Source organism: Homo sapiens, chromosome 3 (assembly GCF_000001405.40).
Source record: "Homo sapiens chromosome 3, GRCh38.p14 Primary Assembly".
In the NCBI taxonomy this organism is placed as follows: Eukaryota; Metazoa; Chordata; class Mammalia; order Primates; family Hominidae; genus Homo; species Homo sapiens.
In genome coordinates, this window is record NC_000003.12 from 179137796 (window position 1) to 179154192 (window position 16397).

General features: G+C 39.3%; 1 protein-coding gene and 1 long non-coding RNA gene across 3 annotated transcripts in view, besides 7 other annotated features; one reads left to right on the forward strand and one right to left on the reverse strand.

Annotated features, from left to right (window-relative positions):
• The window catches only part of PIK3CA-DT (PIK3CA divergent transcript), a 46603-nt gene extending 36425 nt beyond the window's left edge, over positions 1–10178 (reverse strand). Inside the window, exon 1 of the long non-coding RNA NR_125401.1 lies at positions 10121–10178. This is a non-coding gene — a long non-coding RNA (PIK3CA divergent transcript). The remainder of the gene's footprint in view (positions 1–10120) is intronic.
• Positions 9277–9386: an enhancer, noted in NCBI's record as "active region_20860". NCBI's record gives its function as "activates an Ori minimal core promoter by ATAC-STARR-seq in GM12878 lymphoblastoid cells {active_cell/tissue: GM12878}" and the evidence as "EXISTENCE:reporter gene assay evidence [ECO:0000049][PMID:35858748]".
• Positions 9997–10116: an enhancer, noted in NCBI's record as "active region_20861". NCBI's record gives its function as "activates an Ori minimal core promoter by ATAC-STARR-seq in GM12878 lymphoblastoid cells {active_cell/tissue: GM12878}" and the evidence as "EXISTENCE:reporter gene assay evidence [ECO:0000049][PMID:35858748]".
• The window catches only part of PIK3CA (phosphatidylinositol-4,5-bisphosphate 3-kinase catalytic subunit alpha), a 91968-nt gene continuing 85901 nt past the window's right edge, over positions 10331–16397 (forward strand). Inside the window, exon 1 of one of the 2 annotated variants that reach the window (XM_006713658.5) lies at positions 10331–10424. The gene's annotated coding sequence lies outside the window, so the exon portion shown is untranslated. Of the gene's footprint in view, positions 10425–10561; positions 10809–16397 lie in introns of those variants that run through there. The other variant, NM_006218.4, reaches the window with a different exon arrangement.
• Positions 10607–11076: a silencer, noted in NCBI's record as "silent region_14910". NCBI's record gives its function as "represses an Ori minimal core promoter by ATAC-STARR-seq in GM12878 lymphoblastoid cells {active_cell/tissue: GM12878}" and the evidence as "EXISTENCE:reporter gene assay evidence [ECO:0000049][PMID:35858748]".
• Positions 10607–11425: a biological region, named in NCBI's record as "H3K27ac hESC enhancer GRCh37_chr3:178866509-178867008".
• Positions 10926–11425: an enhancer, noted in NCBI's record as "H3K27ac hESC enhancer chr3:178866509-178867008 (GRCh37/hg19 assembly coordinates)". NCBI's record gives its function as "activates a minimal SCP1, AML or CMV promoter by ChIP-STARR-seq in naive H9 embryonic stem cells {active_cell/tissue: H9 hESC(naive)}" and the evidence as "EXISTENCE:reporter gene assay evidence [ECO:0000049][PMID:30033119]".
• Positions 11137–11186: a silencer, noted in NCBI's record as "silent region_14911". NCBI's record gives its function as "represses an Ori minimal core promoter by ATAC-STARR-seq in GM12878 lymphoblastoid cells {active_cell/tissue: GM12878}" and the evidence as "EXISTENCE:reporter gene assay evidence [ECO:0000049][PMID:35858748]".
• Positions 11987–12036: an enhancer, noted in NCBI's record as "active region_20862". NCBI's record gives its function as "activates an Ori minimal core promoter by ATAC-STARR-seq in GM12878 lymphoblastoid cells {active_cell/tissue: GM12878}" and the evidence as "EXISTENCE:reporter gene assay evidence [ECO:0000049][PMID:35858748]".

A 16397-nucleotide genomic window follows, 5' to 3' on the forward strand; every position in this document is an offset into this window, starting at 1 on the left:
CCCACAGCCACTCTGCCACTGCAGCTGAAGTGGTGCTGCGCTTATTGCCCTTACTCTAGAGAAGGAACAAAGGGACTGGTCACTTCACTGCCACTTCCAGGATACCACAACTGCCAAACAGAGAGGAGCCTAGTCTCTCTTCCTTGTGAGTGCCCACCCTGTACTCTTCACAAGGCAAGGCCCCCAGGAGCATCTATCCCACACCCAACTGAACATTCCTACTGGCAGTAGCTCTGTATTCAATTCAATGACAAGATTTAACTATCCTAAATATATATGCACACAATACTGGAGCACCCAGATTAATAAAATAAGTTCTTAGAGACTTATGAAGAGACTTAGATAACTATACAACAATTGTGGGAAACCTTAACACCCCACTGACAGTACTGGATAGATTGTTGAGGCAGAAAAACTAACAACGATATTTGGGACCTTAACTTGACATTTGGCAAAATGGACCTAACAGACATCTACAGACCATTCCACCCAACATAGAATGTACATTCTTCTCATCTGCACATGGCACATACTCTAAAATTGATCACATACTTGGCCATAAAGCAATTCTCAACAAATTAGAAAAAAAAAATCCTACCAGCCACACCCTTGGAACACAACTCAAAGAAACCAGAAATCAATACCAAGAAGATCTACTAAAACCAAACAATTAAGTGAAAATTAAACAATCAACTCCCCAATGACATTTGGGTAAACAATGAAATTAAGGCAGAAATCAAGAAAGTCTTTGAAACTAATGAAAACAAACATACAACATACTAGAAACTCTGGACACAGCTAAAGCAGTGTTACAAGGAAAGATGATAGTGCTAAATGCCCACATCAAAAAGTCAGAAAGATCTCAAATCAACAACCTAACATCACACCTAGAGGAATATGATAAACAAGAGCAAACCAACCCCAAAGGTAGCAGAAGAAGAGCAGAGCTGAACTGAACTGAATGAAACAGAGACAGGAAAAACCACACAAAAGATCAACAAAACCAAAAGTGGGTTTTTTAAAAGAATAAATAAGAGTGATAGACTGCTAGCTAGACTAATAAAGAGAGAAGATTCAAATAAACACAATTAGAAAGGACAAAGGGGACATTACCACTGACCAAGAATATTACGAATACCTCACAAACTAGAAAACATAATAGAAATGGATAAATTCCTGGAATCTGGTTCAATCCCAAGATTGAACCAGAAAGAACATGGATACTAGAACAGACTAATAATGAATTCTAAAATTGAATCAGTAATTTAAAAACTACTAACCAGAAAAAGCCCTGGACCAGAAAAATTCACAGCCCAATTCTACCAGATATAGAAAGAAGAGCTGGTACCAATTCTACTGAAACTATCCCAAATAGTTGAGGAGGAAGGTCTCCTGCCTTACTCATTTGATAATGCCAGCATCATTTTGATATCAAAACTCGGCAGAGACACAACAAAAAAAAAAGAAAATTTCAGACCAATATCCCTGACAACCATAAATGTAAAAATCCACAATAAAATACTAGCAAACCAAACCTAGCAGCACATCAAAAAGCTAATCCACCACAATCAAGTAGGCTTTATTTCTGCGATACAGAGTGTGGTTCAACATATGCAAATCAATAAAAGTGATTCATCTCATAAACAGAAACAAAAACTACATGAACATCTCAACAGATGCAGAAAAGGCTTTTGATAAAATTCAAATCCCTTCATATTAAAAACCCTCAACAAACTAGACACCAAAGATACATATCCTAAAATAATAGGAGATATCTATGACAAACCCACAGCCAATATCATACTGAATGGGCAAAAGCTGGAACTATTCTCCTTGAGAACTGGAATAAGACAAAAATGCCCATTCCCACACTCCTATTCAACATATCACTAGAAGTCGTAGCCAGAGCAATCAGACAAGAGAAAGAAATAAAAGGCATCCAAACAGGAAGAGAGGAAGTCAAACTCTCTCTCTTCATGGATGATGTGACTCTATACCCAAAAAACCCCATAGTCTCTGCCCAAAGGCTTCTAGATCTGATGAACAATGTCAGCAAAGTTTTAGGATACAAAATCAATGTACAAACATCAGTACCATTTCTATACACCAATAACATCCAAGCTGAGAGACAAATCAAGAGTGAAATCCTATTCACAACAGCAACAAAAAGGAATTGGAATACAGATAACCAGGGAGGTGAAAGAGCTCTACAGTGAGAATTACAAAACACTGTTGAAAAAAATCAGAGGTGACACAAACAAATGAAAAAAATTCTACGCTCATGAATAGGAAGAATCAGTATTTTAAAAATGGTCATACTGCCCACAACTATTTACAGATTCAATGCTAATCCTGTCAAACTACCAATGACATTTTTTAGAGAATTAGAAAAAAACATTCTAAAATTCATTTGGAACCAAAAAAGAGCCCAAATACCCAAAGCAATCCTAAGCAAAAAGCACAAAGCCAGAAGCATCACACTATCTGACTTCAAACTATACTATAAAGATAGAGTAACCAGGCACAGCGAGGGGGCTCACGCTGGTAATCCCAGCACTTTGGGAAGCCAAGGTGGGTGGATCACAAGGTCAGGAGTTCAAGCCCAGCCTGGCCAACATAGTAAAACCCCGTCTCTACTAAAAATACAAAAAAAAAAAAAAAAAAATTAGGCAGGCGTGGTGGCAGACACCTGTAATCCCAGCTACTTGGGAGGCTGAGGCAGGAGAATGGCGTGAACCTGGGAGGCAGAAGTTGCAGTAAGCTGAGATCTTGACATTGCACTCCAGCCTAGGCAACACAGCGAGACTCCATCTCAAAAAAAAAAAAAAAAAAAAGTTACCAAAACAGCATGGTACTGATACAAAAACAGACACATAGACCAATGGAACAGAATACAGAGCCCAGAAATAAAGCCATATATCTATAACCACCTTATCTTCAACAAAGTTGCAAAAACAAGCAATGGGGAAAGGACTCCCTATTTAATAAATGCTGCTGGGATAACTGGCTAGTCACATGCAGAAGATTAAAATTAAACCTGTAACTTTCACCATATACAAAAATCAACTCAAGATGCATTAAAGACTTAAATAGAGAACCTAAAACTATAAAGACCCTAGAAAAAAATCTAGGAAATACCATTCTGGACATTGGCCCAGGCAAAGATTTCATGACAAAGATGCCAAAAGCAATTGCAACAAAAACGAAAATTGAAAAATGAGACCGAATTAAATGAAAGAGCTTCTGCACAGCAAGAGAAACTACCAATAAAGCAAACAGACAATGTATACAGAATGGCAGAAAATATTTGCAAACTACACATCCAACAAAGTTCTAATATTCAGAATCTATAAGGAGCATAAACAAATCAACAAGCACAATACAAACAACCCCATTAAAAATGGGCAAAGGACATGAATAGACACTTCTCAAAAGAAGATAAACACACGGTCAACAAGCCTATGAAAAAATGCTCCATATCACTAATCATTAGGGAAATGCAAATTTAAAGCACAGTGAAATATCATCTCACACCAGTCAGAATGGCTATTATTAAAAAGTCAAAAAAATAACATATGCTGGCAAGGTTGTGGAGGAAAGGGAATACTTATACACTGGTAGTGGGAATGTAAATTAGTTCAGTCACTGTGGAAAGCAGTCTGGAGATTTCTGAAAGAACTTAAAATAGAACTACCATTTGACCCAGCAATTTCATTACTGGGTATACATCCAAAGAAATATAAATCATTTACCATAAAGACACAGGTATGCGTATGTTTATCACAGCACTATTCACAATAGCAAAGACACAGAATCAACCTAGAAGCCCATCAACAGTGGACTGGATAAAGAAAATGTGGTATGCATACACCATGGAATACTACACAGTTATTAAAAAATGAGATCATGGCCTTTGCAACAACATGGATGGAGCTGGAAGCTGTCATCTTAAACGAGTTAATGCAGGAACAGAAAATCAAATACTGCATGTTTTTACTTATAAGTGGTAGCTAAACATTGAGTATACACGGACACAAAAAAGGGAACAATAGACACTGAAGCCTATGGGAGGGTGGAGGGTGGGAGGAAGGTGAGGACTGAAAACTACTTCTCGAGTATTATGAGATTACCTGGGTGACAAAATTATCTGTACACCAAACCCCCATGACACACAATTTACCCATGTAACAAACCTGCACATGTACCCCTTGAACCCAAAATAAGAGTCGGAAAGAAAAATGAAAAAGAAAATTCTAACTATAGCTCAGACTAACCCCTGAGTAGCAAGCACATCCACAGCGTAGGACCAAAGCAGCATAGGAAAGACATTAAAATCAAAACCGAGATTAGAATCACTTTCCACAGAAAGCAAGAGTACACTTAGTCACATGGATTTCCTACTAAAACAAACAAAAAATTAATATTATCCAGAGGATAACAGAACACATAATCAAATCAACATAATATTCAAATTTTCCAATATACAATCCAAAATGACTCGACATATTAAAAAAAAAAACAGGAAAATGTGTCCAATTCTCAAGGGAAAGGACGATCAGCAAATGCCAATCCTGAGTTGATCCAAATGTTGGAATTATCAGAGAAAGACTTTAACGTAGGTACTAACTATGGTCCCTGAGGTAAAGACCTAACTTGAAATGAACAGAAAGGTATAGGTACTCAGGAGAGGAACAGAAACCATTGAAAAAAGAGCCAATCAGAAAATGAAGAGTTAAAAAATACAATATCTAAGATTTTAAAAATATCTGGGGGAGCTCAATAGCAGAACAGACATGACAGAGACAAAAGTAAGTGAACTACAAGATATAGCAACAGAAAATATCCAGCATAGATAGATATGAGGAACAAGAGAGAGGAAAAAAGATTGGAAAAAAAAATGAACAGAGCCTTAGAGACATGTAGGACAATTTCAAAACAGCTAACATTCTTGTCACTGGATTCCCAGAAGAGAATAAAATAACTGGGGCAGAAAAATATTTGGAAAAAGTAATTTCTGAAAACTTCCCAAAATTAGTGAAATACATAATTTTACAAATTCAGGAACTAGACACACACAAACAGAAGAAATAAAACAATACCTCAGCATATCAGAATCAAACCATTTAAAACCTAAATTTTTAAACTTTTTTTTTTTCTTTTTGAGACGGAGTCTCGCTCTGTCACCCAGGCTGGAGTGCAGTGGCGCAATCCCGGCTCACTGCCAGCTCCGCCTCCCGGGTTCACGCCATTCTCCTGCCTCAACCTCCCGAGTAGCTGGGACTACAGGCGCCCGCCACCACACCCGGCTAATTTTTTGTATTGTTTAGTAGAGACGGGGTTTCACCATGTTAGCCAGGATGGTCTCGATCTCCTGACCTCGTGATCCACCCACCTCGGCCTCCCAACTAAATTTTTAAATCTTGATATAATCCAGAGAAAAAAGAAAAATTACGTATTGGGGGAAACTATTTGAATGACCACAGATGAGACCTGAAAATAGTCTTTTTTATGTTTTTTAAATTAATTTATTTATTTACTTATTGGAGACATGGTTTTGCTCTGTCGCCTAGGCTAGAGTGCAATGACATGCTCACAGCACACTGCAGCCTCAAACTCCTGGGCTCAGCGGATCCTCCCACCTCAGCAACAGCCACCCGAGTAGCTGGGGCTACAGATGCATGCCACTAGGACCGGCTAATTTTTTTGTATTATTTTGTAGAGACGGCGTTTCGCCCTGTTGCCCAGGTTGGTCTCAAACTGCTGGGCTCAAGTGATCCACCCACCTCAGCCTCCCAAAGTGCTGGGATTACAGGCGTGAGCCAACACACCTGGCTGAAAATAGTCTTTTACGAATTTCAAAGCTTTGATTTCTCCATAAGTGCACTCCTGGTAACTTGAGAACATTACACATTTGTCTCCTTTCTGTGGCCAGAATTGTTTTGTATTTCAAGTATGGAAAGGAGCTTTGCCAGAATCCTCCCGTGCTAAGTGTAAGTAGAGCAGTTAGACTTTAACATGGTTGTGTGATAGTAATGACATTCATATCTGACTCTAGGCAAGGCATGGCTGGAATGAAAAACATTGACTGTTAAGTGTTTTAAGGTGAACTTCTCAGATACTAGATCTCTTAGCTCACATAGTGGAATTTTGAGGAAAGTACAGGGTTTGCTCTTCATCTCCTAAGAAATGCAATGATGATTCTTTAAAGTACTGATGGGTCAGGGAGGGGAGAAAACCATTAACCGAGAATTGTATAATCAGCTAAAATATTTTGCAGAAATGAAGGCAAAAGTAAAATATTCTCAAATGAAGGAAAATGAAGGGAATTTGTCACAAGCAGACTTTCTCTAAAAAGAATGTTAAAATTCTTCAGGATAAAGGGAAATTATACCAGAAGGAAAAATGGATTTTCAGGAATGAAGCAAAACATAAATGTAAATGGATACGTAAATATAAAAGATTATTTTTCCTCTTGAGTTCTATATGACTGTTGAAAGCAAAAATTATAAAAACATCTGATGGGGCTTCCATATATATAAATGTAATACATATGCCAACTAATGACATAAAGGTCAGGGAGTGGGGTAGGAGACAGTGGTAAATCTACACGGTTGCAAGGCTTCTTTCTACATTTTACTTGAAGTGGTGTAATAGTAATACTAAGTAGACCGCAAAACTTTAGGTATGTATATTATAATCCATAGAATTACCAAAAAATTACCAAGAAATATATTAAAACTACAATATAGAAATTAAAATGGAATATTAAAAATTTTTCAAATAATCCACAAGAAAGCAGGAAAGTAGAAACATAAAAACAAAAGTATAGAGGAAAAACAGAAAACAAATAATAAAATGGCAAGCCTAAATCCATATAATTACATTAAATGTAAATTAAACACAGCAATTAAAACACAGAAATTGTCAGATTGGAATTTTTAAAAAGAGATCTAATACGTGTTGTCTACGAGTAACTCACTTTAAATATAAAAATAGATATAAAAAAGATGGGAAAAAATACCATGGAAAAATTAATCAAAAAAAGCTGGACTGGCTGTATTAATATCAGACAAAGTAGATTTCAGAACAAAGATATTACTAGGAATAAAGAGAGATAGTACAGATTGATTAAAAAGAGTCAATGTATCAAAACACAAGAGTTCTAAATGTGTATACATCTAACAACAAAGCTTCAAAACACACAAAGTAAAAATACACAGAAGTGAAATGAGAAATAAAGAAATCCACAATTATATTTTGAAACATCAATGCTAACAAAATCATCAACTTGGTAAGAAACTACATTCTGCCCAACAATAGCAAACAAAATATTCTTTCATAAGTGCACATGGGACATTCACCAAGATATTCTGGGGCAACACAAATCTTAACTTGAAAAGAACTGAAATCTTAAAAGTACGTGTGTGTATGTGTGTGTGGGTGTATGGTTTTTTTTTTTTTAAGATGGAGTCTCGGTCAGGCGTGGTGGCTCACACCTGTAATCTCAGCACTTTGGGAGGCCAAGGCGGGCGGATCATGAGGTCAGGAGTTCAAGACCAGCCTGACCAATATGGTGAAACCCCGTCTCTACTAAAAATACAAAAATTAGCCGGGCGTGGTGGCACGTGCCTGTAGTCCCAGCTACTCGGAAGGCTGAGGCAGGAGAATCACTTGAACCTGGGAGGCAGAGGTTGCAGTGAGCCAAGATCGCGCCACTGCACTCCAGCCTGGGTGACAGAGCGAGACTCCATCTCAAAAAAAAAAAAAAAAAAAAAAAAACAGTGCTACATGGTAACTCATATCGTTATCTCTTGGTGTGTTTTTATTGTTTGACTTGGCAATTTTATACATCTAAAGTATACTGCTACATAATCAACTTGACTCTTATTTACAAAGGACTTCAAAGCTTAGTAGTGACTTAAGCGCTATTAGAGAATGTTTCGGTGCATATTTGAGTATCAGTTATGATTTTCAATGGAAATAAACCCAAAAGGCAAGTAACTGTCATTATAATTCTGATTATTAGAATAGAACAATAGCTACATACTGGACATTTCACCTCCCGTCTTTAGAACCCTTAGGATGCAATTATTTAATTTTGAAGTATACCATTTTTTGTTTCATTTACAGCCTGAGAATCATTATTTTTTTAAAACCTTCTTTCAGCTCCTAATCCTTGAGTGATGAGTTTGGTCATATAGATGCTTATATCATACAGATATTTTTATATCATATAGATATTTTAAACACTGAATAACATTGCAAAAACCTTTGAAAGCAAGATGACACCTAAGACCAATGGCTTACATATAAGGCAAACATTATCAACCGTGAATTGAATAGTAAATGCTACTCCTGTACCAATGAATGGTGTCATGCATTCAAGTACCAGGTATGGCTTTTTCTGCTATGACACACAACTTCTTAGGGGCAGATAATCACATAACAAAAAACATATTATGTAATTAGCATTTTCTTATTAAAAAATAAATTTTAGGCTGGGCATGTCGGCTGAAGTCTGTAATCCCAACACTTTGGGAGGCCGAGGTAGATGAATCTCTTGAGCCCAGGAGTTGGAGACCAGTCTGGGCAACGAAGCAAGACCCTGTCTTTACAAAAAATAAAACATTTTTAAAAATCACAAATAGGCCAGGTGCGGTGGCTTACGCCTGTAATCCTAGCACTCTGGGAAGTCGAGGGGGGTGGATCACCTGAAGTCAGAAGTTTGAGACCAGCCTGACCAACATGGTGAAACCCCGTCTCTACTAAGAAATACAAAAATTAGCTGGCATGTTGGCTGGTGCCTGTAATCCCAGCTACTCGGGAGGCTGAGGCAGAAGAATCGCTTGAACCCGGGAGGCAGAGGCTGCAGTGAGCCGAGACTGCACCGCTGAACTCCAGCCTGGGCTACAGAGTGAGACTCTGGCTCAAAAAAATAATAATAATAAATAAATAATAAATTTTATAAGGAAAAATATCCCTAGTATATTTTTCCCCACCAAGGTCTACCTATTAATATCTCATATAACTCTGTGCTTGAAACACAATTTGGGATATATTGCCTTAAAATTTACTTTGACTAGCAATTCAGTGTTCCTTTTTTAAAAAAATCTGTACTCTGGAGTAACAGTGTTCTAAAACTGTTGAAGAACATTGGTTCGAGAAAAACATTTAGAAACACAAACCCCTGGAATGTGAGATGAAAATCCGAGCTAAAGGGAGAAAAAGGACGAAAGAAAGAAAACACAGAAAAGAAAGAAATACAGTCAAGTGAAACTACGACCACAAAGAGGAACAGATCCATCTCATTTACCATTGGGGTATGGACGGACGTGCGGTGTTCGAGAAGACTGTTATTGGTCAGAGTTTTGCTCTAGAGGACAAGTAGGACTGTAACATCTCTAGGATGGGTCACTTCCCAAGCCCTCTATTACTTAAAAATTCAAGGAGGAACCGATGCTGGAGTACTTGTATCTCAGACTTCTAATCACTGCTCCTACGCTTTTCCAATATTACAACAAAAGACCAGTAGGGGGAGAAAAACGCACAGTACCGAACCCTTATCAGTAGTAATCTCAAAAGTCAACAGATTGATTTACTCTCAAGCAAACAGACTTCTAAGGTACGCAGCACCAAGACACTACCTTGAATCAAATCTATAGCCTATATGACATTTCTGAAGTCTCTGTTGGCATTACGCGAAAAATCCCCCACGTCTTCTGAATAGTTAGAATTGAATCCTACAAGCTGCTTCGAATCAGAATTCGATTTAAAAAAAAAAATGAGGGCATAGCAAAAGGTCTCCACGAAGTGAGTCAAAGGACTGCAGAGGGCTGTGACAGTGCATTCCGCCTTCGGGATGGTATACAACTTAAACCATGTCGGCAGAAGAACGCACAGCAACGCTTTGTAAAAAGCATTCTTTCTATTATAGAATCCATAACCACGCTGGTTAGCCACTGACAGCGGCGGTTAGCCACCGCACCTCCTCTCACCCCCGAACTAATCTCGTTTCCTCTATGGGTGTAAAAGTGAAATAACCCACTTGCTCCCAATATTCCTTTCTATATCTCTACCCCAGCTCGCCTGCTGCTCGTAGAAACAAATATACTACACGTACGCTGTCCTAGGATGACACAACACCCTCACTACTGCAGAAGACGGATCATTAAACAAACGTCAGAAGAGCAGCCCCAACTGTACATAAACTTCGGGCGGAAAAGCAAGACGCAGGCGCAGTAGCACATATTGTTACCCTATTTGCCCACTCCCTGCTCCTCCTCGCCTCAATTTCGCTTCCGCTTCTTTGCGCATCTGCTTCCGGGGGATTGTAGGCTCTGCCCCTCCTCAGCTCTTACCCTCTTCTGCCGGAGGAGGGGGGGGGCCGAGGGGGTGGGGAAGAGTTCGTTGTTTGTTTACACGATGTGAGCGGAAAAAGAGACCAATAAAGTTTATTCTGGAAACAAAAGGAAAAAAAAACAGGGGCGACGGAGAAAGGAGTCGGGGGCGGGGGCGTGTGGCGGGGGCTAGCGAGGAGAGGGAGCGAGAAGTAGAAAGCGGCAGTTCCGGTGCCGCCGCTGCGGCCGCTGAGGTGTCGGGCTGCTGCTGCCGCGGCCGCTGGGACTGGGGCTGGGGCCGCCGGCGAGGCAGGGCTCGGGCCCGGCCGGGCAGCTCCGGAGCGGCGGGGGAGAGGGGCCGGGAGGCGGGGGCCGTGCCGCCCGCTCTCCTCTCCCTCGGCGCCGCCGCCGCCGCCCGCGGGGCTGGGACCCGATGCGGTTAGAGCCGCGGAGCCTGGAAGAGCCCCGAGCGTGAGTAGAGCGCGGACTGGCCGGTAGCGGGTGCGGTGGGAATGGGGACCGGGTGGGTGCCGGAGACTCCCGGGCGCGCCCGCCGTGTTGGGCGGAGGCTACGGGCTGGTCGTCTCCCAGCGTCGGCCCGCGGCGGAGTTCGCCTGCGATCGCCGCACCCTCTCCCTCGCCTGCCTCTGGCCTCTCCTAGCTGCAGAGGCGAGGGCTCGCCGCTCCCTCTCCTTTCTCTCTGGCTGCCGCCTCGCTCTTCCTTTGCTTCTACTCCCAGTTTTGGGGACGGGGCGGCTGGAGGTTGAGGAAGTGCGCCCAGGGCCGCCGCCCCGGCCGCGGTGGCTCTGTCTCCCGCGCCCTGCACGCCCACCCAGCCCGCGGGTGGAGGGGCTGCCGCGAGGACTGCGGCTCAAGGGACGCGGGCGCGAAACCGCGAGCTTTTCTTGAGGGGCTGTCACGCCCGAGGACTCCGGCCCCGCCAGCCTGGCGGCCCTGCGTTTGCCTCTTACTGGGTTTAAATCGCCCGGCAGGGGTATGGAAGGAACACCGCTCCCCTCACCCCCGCCAGCTCCCCTCCCACCCTTCCTTTCGAGGTTGTTTTTTCCTTTTAGCTGAGACAAACGCTTAGATCTTTCATTCATAGACCTGAGACACTGACTCATGTGACTTGTCTCTTTACTAAGTGTATTATGTGATGCCTGTTCCATGGCTCTTAAGTGGCTCGGAAAGGTAGGGTAGGGCCCGGGATTGGGCTATGTAAACACCAGACGTTCAGCCGGCGTGTTTTTGACCTCGGCTCGAGGGGTTTATTTTAGGATGCTAAAGGAATAGTGATGGTGGCCAACCGTGTTACCAGACTTGGGAATCGAAAGCTATTTTTTTATGTCAATAATTGAGACTGTTTACATGGTTAAATAAAGGGTAGGGTAAAGGGAGCGCAACAAGAGGGTCTTTCTAGAAAACAGTCTGCATATTCTTTAATGAATTAGAGTTGTGATTTCATCTTGGTGAAGCTTCCTCATTCCAGCACTGCGCCTTTGTGCACATGCAGGACCTGGGTTTTCGGAACGATGTTTTGAATCATAGTTTGTGTGGCCGGGGAGAACCCCTTAGAATACTTGGGTAGGTAAATTCCAGGTTATCTCAGGGGATTATTTCTACTGCGACTTTTGAACCACTGAGGGCAATATTGGTCATATGTTATCCTGCTTAGAAATTGAATTTTTCTGAGTATTTGCTTACATTGCACCGTACAAAATTTGTTTATGTGCTGGATTGCGTGTTTTAAGAAAACTTCTGGAAAATACTCAAAATACCGTGTTGCTAAGTTAGTTTGGATAAATCAAAACACTTTGCTTTCAAAGCAACTACAGTCTTAACAATTTAACGTGTCTTTGTATTCAGGTTTTAAGTTTTTGGTGTTTTTTTTTTTTCCTTTTAACTGAAGCACTGAGGTCCGATTGACAGCATAGATCTCCATCTAAACATCACATGTTCTGGAAATTTTTAATTATCAGATTAACTGTTCTGCAGTGTCATCAGCCAAAATTATCTGAAGAGGACTGTGTGTGTTTACGTGTGTGTGTGTGTGTGTGTGTGTGTGTGTGTTGGTATTTTGCTTAAGTTTTTTCATCTCACATTTTGGGACAAAATAAAACTTCATAGCTTTTTTCAAAAGTTTCTTGTGCTTTTTCAAACTAGAGTACTTTCCTATTAAAATCACAAAATAGTTTATTTAAAAATGATAGCATATCGTAATAATAGCATCATGGGGGAAATAACAAGAAAGTAAAGGAATATTAATATTGCATGATTGTGCGTATAAAGTTTTAAAGACATTCCTGTCAGTTTTAAATAATTAAAAATGAAACACCTGTAAATATAGAAGAGTGTTTTTATTTAAGGTTAAAAAAATTTAACTAAATTGGTTATAGCATTAAAGAGATGTTACTAAATACAAATATTGTACTTAAACTGAAAAATGGCTTCATGGAAGTGTAAATTGTCATGGGCCTTGATATATTTAAAAGGGAGACTAAAAGTGCAGTGGTTTTGCTTGCTCTGTGCGTGGAACAGCCTTTCTGGTGGCAGAGCTTCCTTCCTGTCAGGATAAGGTCCTCTCCATCCCAAATCAGTATCCCCTTAAAAAACCAAAGAAAAAACCCAAACTTATAAATAATGCACAACATAAAGTAGACTGTAATAACTTTTTCTCTAAACCAGTTTACTTTGTGTGCCGCTTCTTATAAGTACCCTTTACTGAATAAAGAGTTTTAAACAGTTACGATTACCATTTAAAGGGCACTTGCTCTGTTGATCTGTTTATTTGAAGAGAGGTAACTTAATCCCATTTGATCTCTTGAGCAGCTACAGTAGCATTAAAAGGATCAGTTCTCTATTTTGTTATTTTATATCTTGAATTCCAAGATAGGGGTGATTCTTTAAATGAAGTGTTTCTTAAGCATTATAAAATATTTCATCTCCAGTGAAAGTATTTACAATCTTAAAAATTATTCAGCTTTAGAAGTATATGTCTTAGAATATCATGGTTTACATTTTATTAGCACAGTTATCAAATAGTTTTTCTTAAGTATTACCTTGAGCTATATTAACAGTGCCGTAGACAGAGTGGTATTACTATCCCTAAGAAATGGTATTCTAATCTGAAGTCAGTTGGCAGGTGACAGACTCATTGACAAAACCAACATTTTCCGACTCCTTTCACTGTATCATGCTGCGTCTAATCTCCAGCCTGTTTTTTAATAGAACTGAAGAAATTAGGGCCCAAGGAGGCTTAATTACTGAAGATCTCCATTTCCTATATTTGCAGTAATATCTTTATTTAATTTCCTTTACATCATGAACAGTGGTTTTCAATCCTGGCTACACATTAGAATAATCTAGGGAGCTTTTTAAAAGTACTCTGGTCTCATCCCCAGAGATGCTCATTTAATTGGTCTGAGATGGATCCCAGTTATCTGTGTTTTGTTTTGTTTGTTTTGAAGTTCACCAGGAAATGCTAATAGAAAAGGATGTAAAGCCCTGGCTGTCAAGGACCTGTATATTTGGTCCTTGCTTCTTTCTCTAGGTTTATTTCTCCTCCCTACTCCTGCAGCTCCCTTGGTCTTTTCATACTCTCCTGTGCAAATACAGTTTGTACTTCCTGAGACATTTGAACACTCCATTCTTCTTTAACTGGTTGACTCCTACTCATCTTTCACATCACCTCCTTTGAAAAGTCTAGCTTGAGTTAGGTATCCCTGCTTCCTGTTCCCATAGCATCGTGTACTCCCACTGTCATAGCATTAACCTCACTGCATTGTAATTGCCTATTTCTTTGTCCATATCCTCTACCAGGCTGTAAATTCCATGAGGATAGGGACTCCTATCTTATATACTGTACAGTAGTATTCTTATTGCCAAGCACAGTAGCCTGTACATTACAGCACTTGACTAAACAAATAAATATAGTAGAGACAGACTTCTTTAAAACATGTAGTGATTCATAAGCACCAGTTTTTATTCTTGCCAATTTCATTTAATATTTTTGGTCACTAAAAATGTACAACCCTGAAATTGCCACACATACGAATTTCATTTGGGGACAGTTGAGATGTTATAAATTGTATAGAGTGGCATTCCACCTCAGACATATACACACACACGCAAAAAATGAAGATTATTATCATATATAGTACTGCACTGGAAATAAGGAGACTTGAATTCTTACCCCTGTTTCACCACAAACATTTGGGCACGTCTCAATCTCTTTGGGTGTCATGTATAATACAGAGGGATTGTACGAGGTGCTCTACATGGTTCTCAGTGATCTAGCCTTAAAATTCTGTGAGTATCAACAGTATTGGCTTTGGAATTTGAGGCACCATGGTTCAAAACCTAGTTCTTAAACTTACTGGCAGGATTACTTTGGACAGATTTTCTTATCTGTAATGGGGGTGATTACTATTCAACAGAGTTGTTGAATTAAATGAGATAATGTAGATCCAAGAGAGTTCTTGCCCTGGATCAGGTGCTTAATAAATGTTCATTTCCTTTCTCCTTAGGAAGTGTTAGATCTCATGAGTGGACTTATCTGAGATAACAGAAGGACACAGTTTATGTAATAAATCCTATTTTCCACTTTGCTGACTGTTAGCACTGCAGGTGTGATTAGGGACCAAAAAACACTGTGACATTTGGTTTCAGTCTCTCAGAACCCCATTCCACTGTCAAACACCCAGGTGTTAGTCAACCTGCTTGGGAAATAATTATGCCTGGAAGTTTCAACCAAGAGAGAATAGCAAGTGCCAAACTATTCACACATATATAATAATATGCAGGAGGGTACAGTCTAAACTGATGAACTTACACTGTCTCCAAAGATAAGTAAAATCAGACTTCATCATTCTAAAAAAAGGAAACAAAATTAAGGATGATTTATAAAAGAAAATCCAAAGATTTTGGTGAAGTCTCTGTTCACCAAACCTTAAAATTCAGGAGCCATTATTTAGTAATTTTCAGGTGATATAAGAAATATAGGAAAAATTGGTCTTCTGGTCAGGACTAATTCCAGAACATAGGCACAAATAATGTTTTCAATTTCAGATTAGCGGTTACAGATATCAGCAGACTGAAGTTATTGATACCTTTCTCTACTTGGGAACTGTGTTTTAAAATTTAATATTGTGTTATATATATCACCTTTATTTATTTGGTAATATTGAAAGTAAACTTACACAGAATGTAATACAGGTTGGACATCCCTAATCTGAAAATTTGAAATTTTATATGCTCCAAAATCTGAAACTTCTTGAGTGCCAACATACGGCCATAAGTGGAAAATTCTACACCTGGCATGTTTGCTTTCTGGTGGTCAAAGGTACACAAACTTTGTTTCATGCATATAATTATTTAAAATACTGTATTAAATTACCTTCAACCTGTGTGTATAAGGTGTATGTGAAACATAAATGAATTTTATGTTTAGACTTGGGTCCCTAGTATGTCTCATTATGTATATGCAAATATTCCAAAATCTGAAATCTGAAATCTCCAGTGTTTTGGATAAGGGATACTCAAAACATTGCTCTGCAGAAGTTTCTTGTTACCAGTCTTATTTTTGTATAAATCAAATTTGCTTGCCTGAGTTTTCCTTTAAGTTTATGTGAAAGTGAATTTTATAAGTAACTTATTCGAAAGAAATACTGTAATAAAAATTAAAAACTGTGGATGGGGGAAACTGAAGTGTTAGGATATAAAAGATAAATATGAGGCAATATATAGTTAAAGTCTGAGGATTCAGCTTCAAGGCTAGAGATTTCCATCATTCAAAAAGATTATTCAGCTATTGGATATACTAATATTTTATCACTGTATACCTTATTCACATTTAATTATTATGTGAATCAGTTGATCCTGGTTAAGGACTTTTTAGGTGTTCTTTCTTTCCCTCTCTACCTATACAGTTTAGGGAGTTTTAAGTTAAAATATTCCAATAAAAAGTTTGTAAGTTTGTAATAAAAGTGGTGGCTTAGAGCTATCTTTTTCTTCAAATAGTTCTTAAAGTGAAACTGTGTCTAATACGTATTAGAGAGCTCT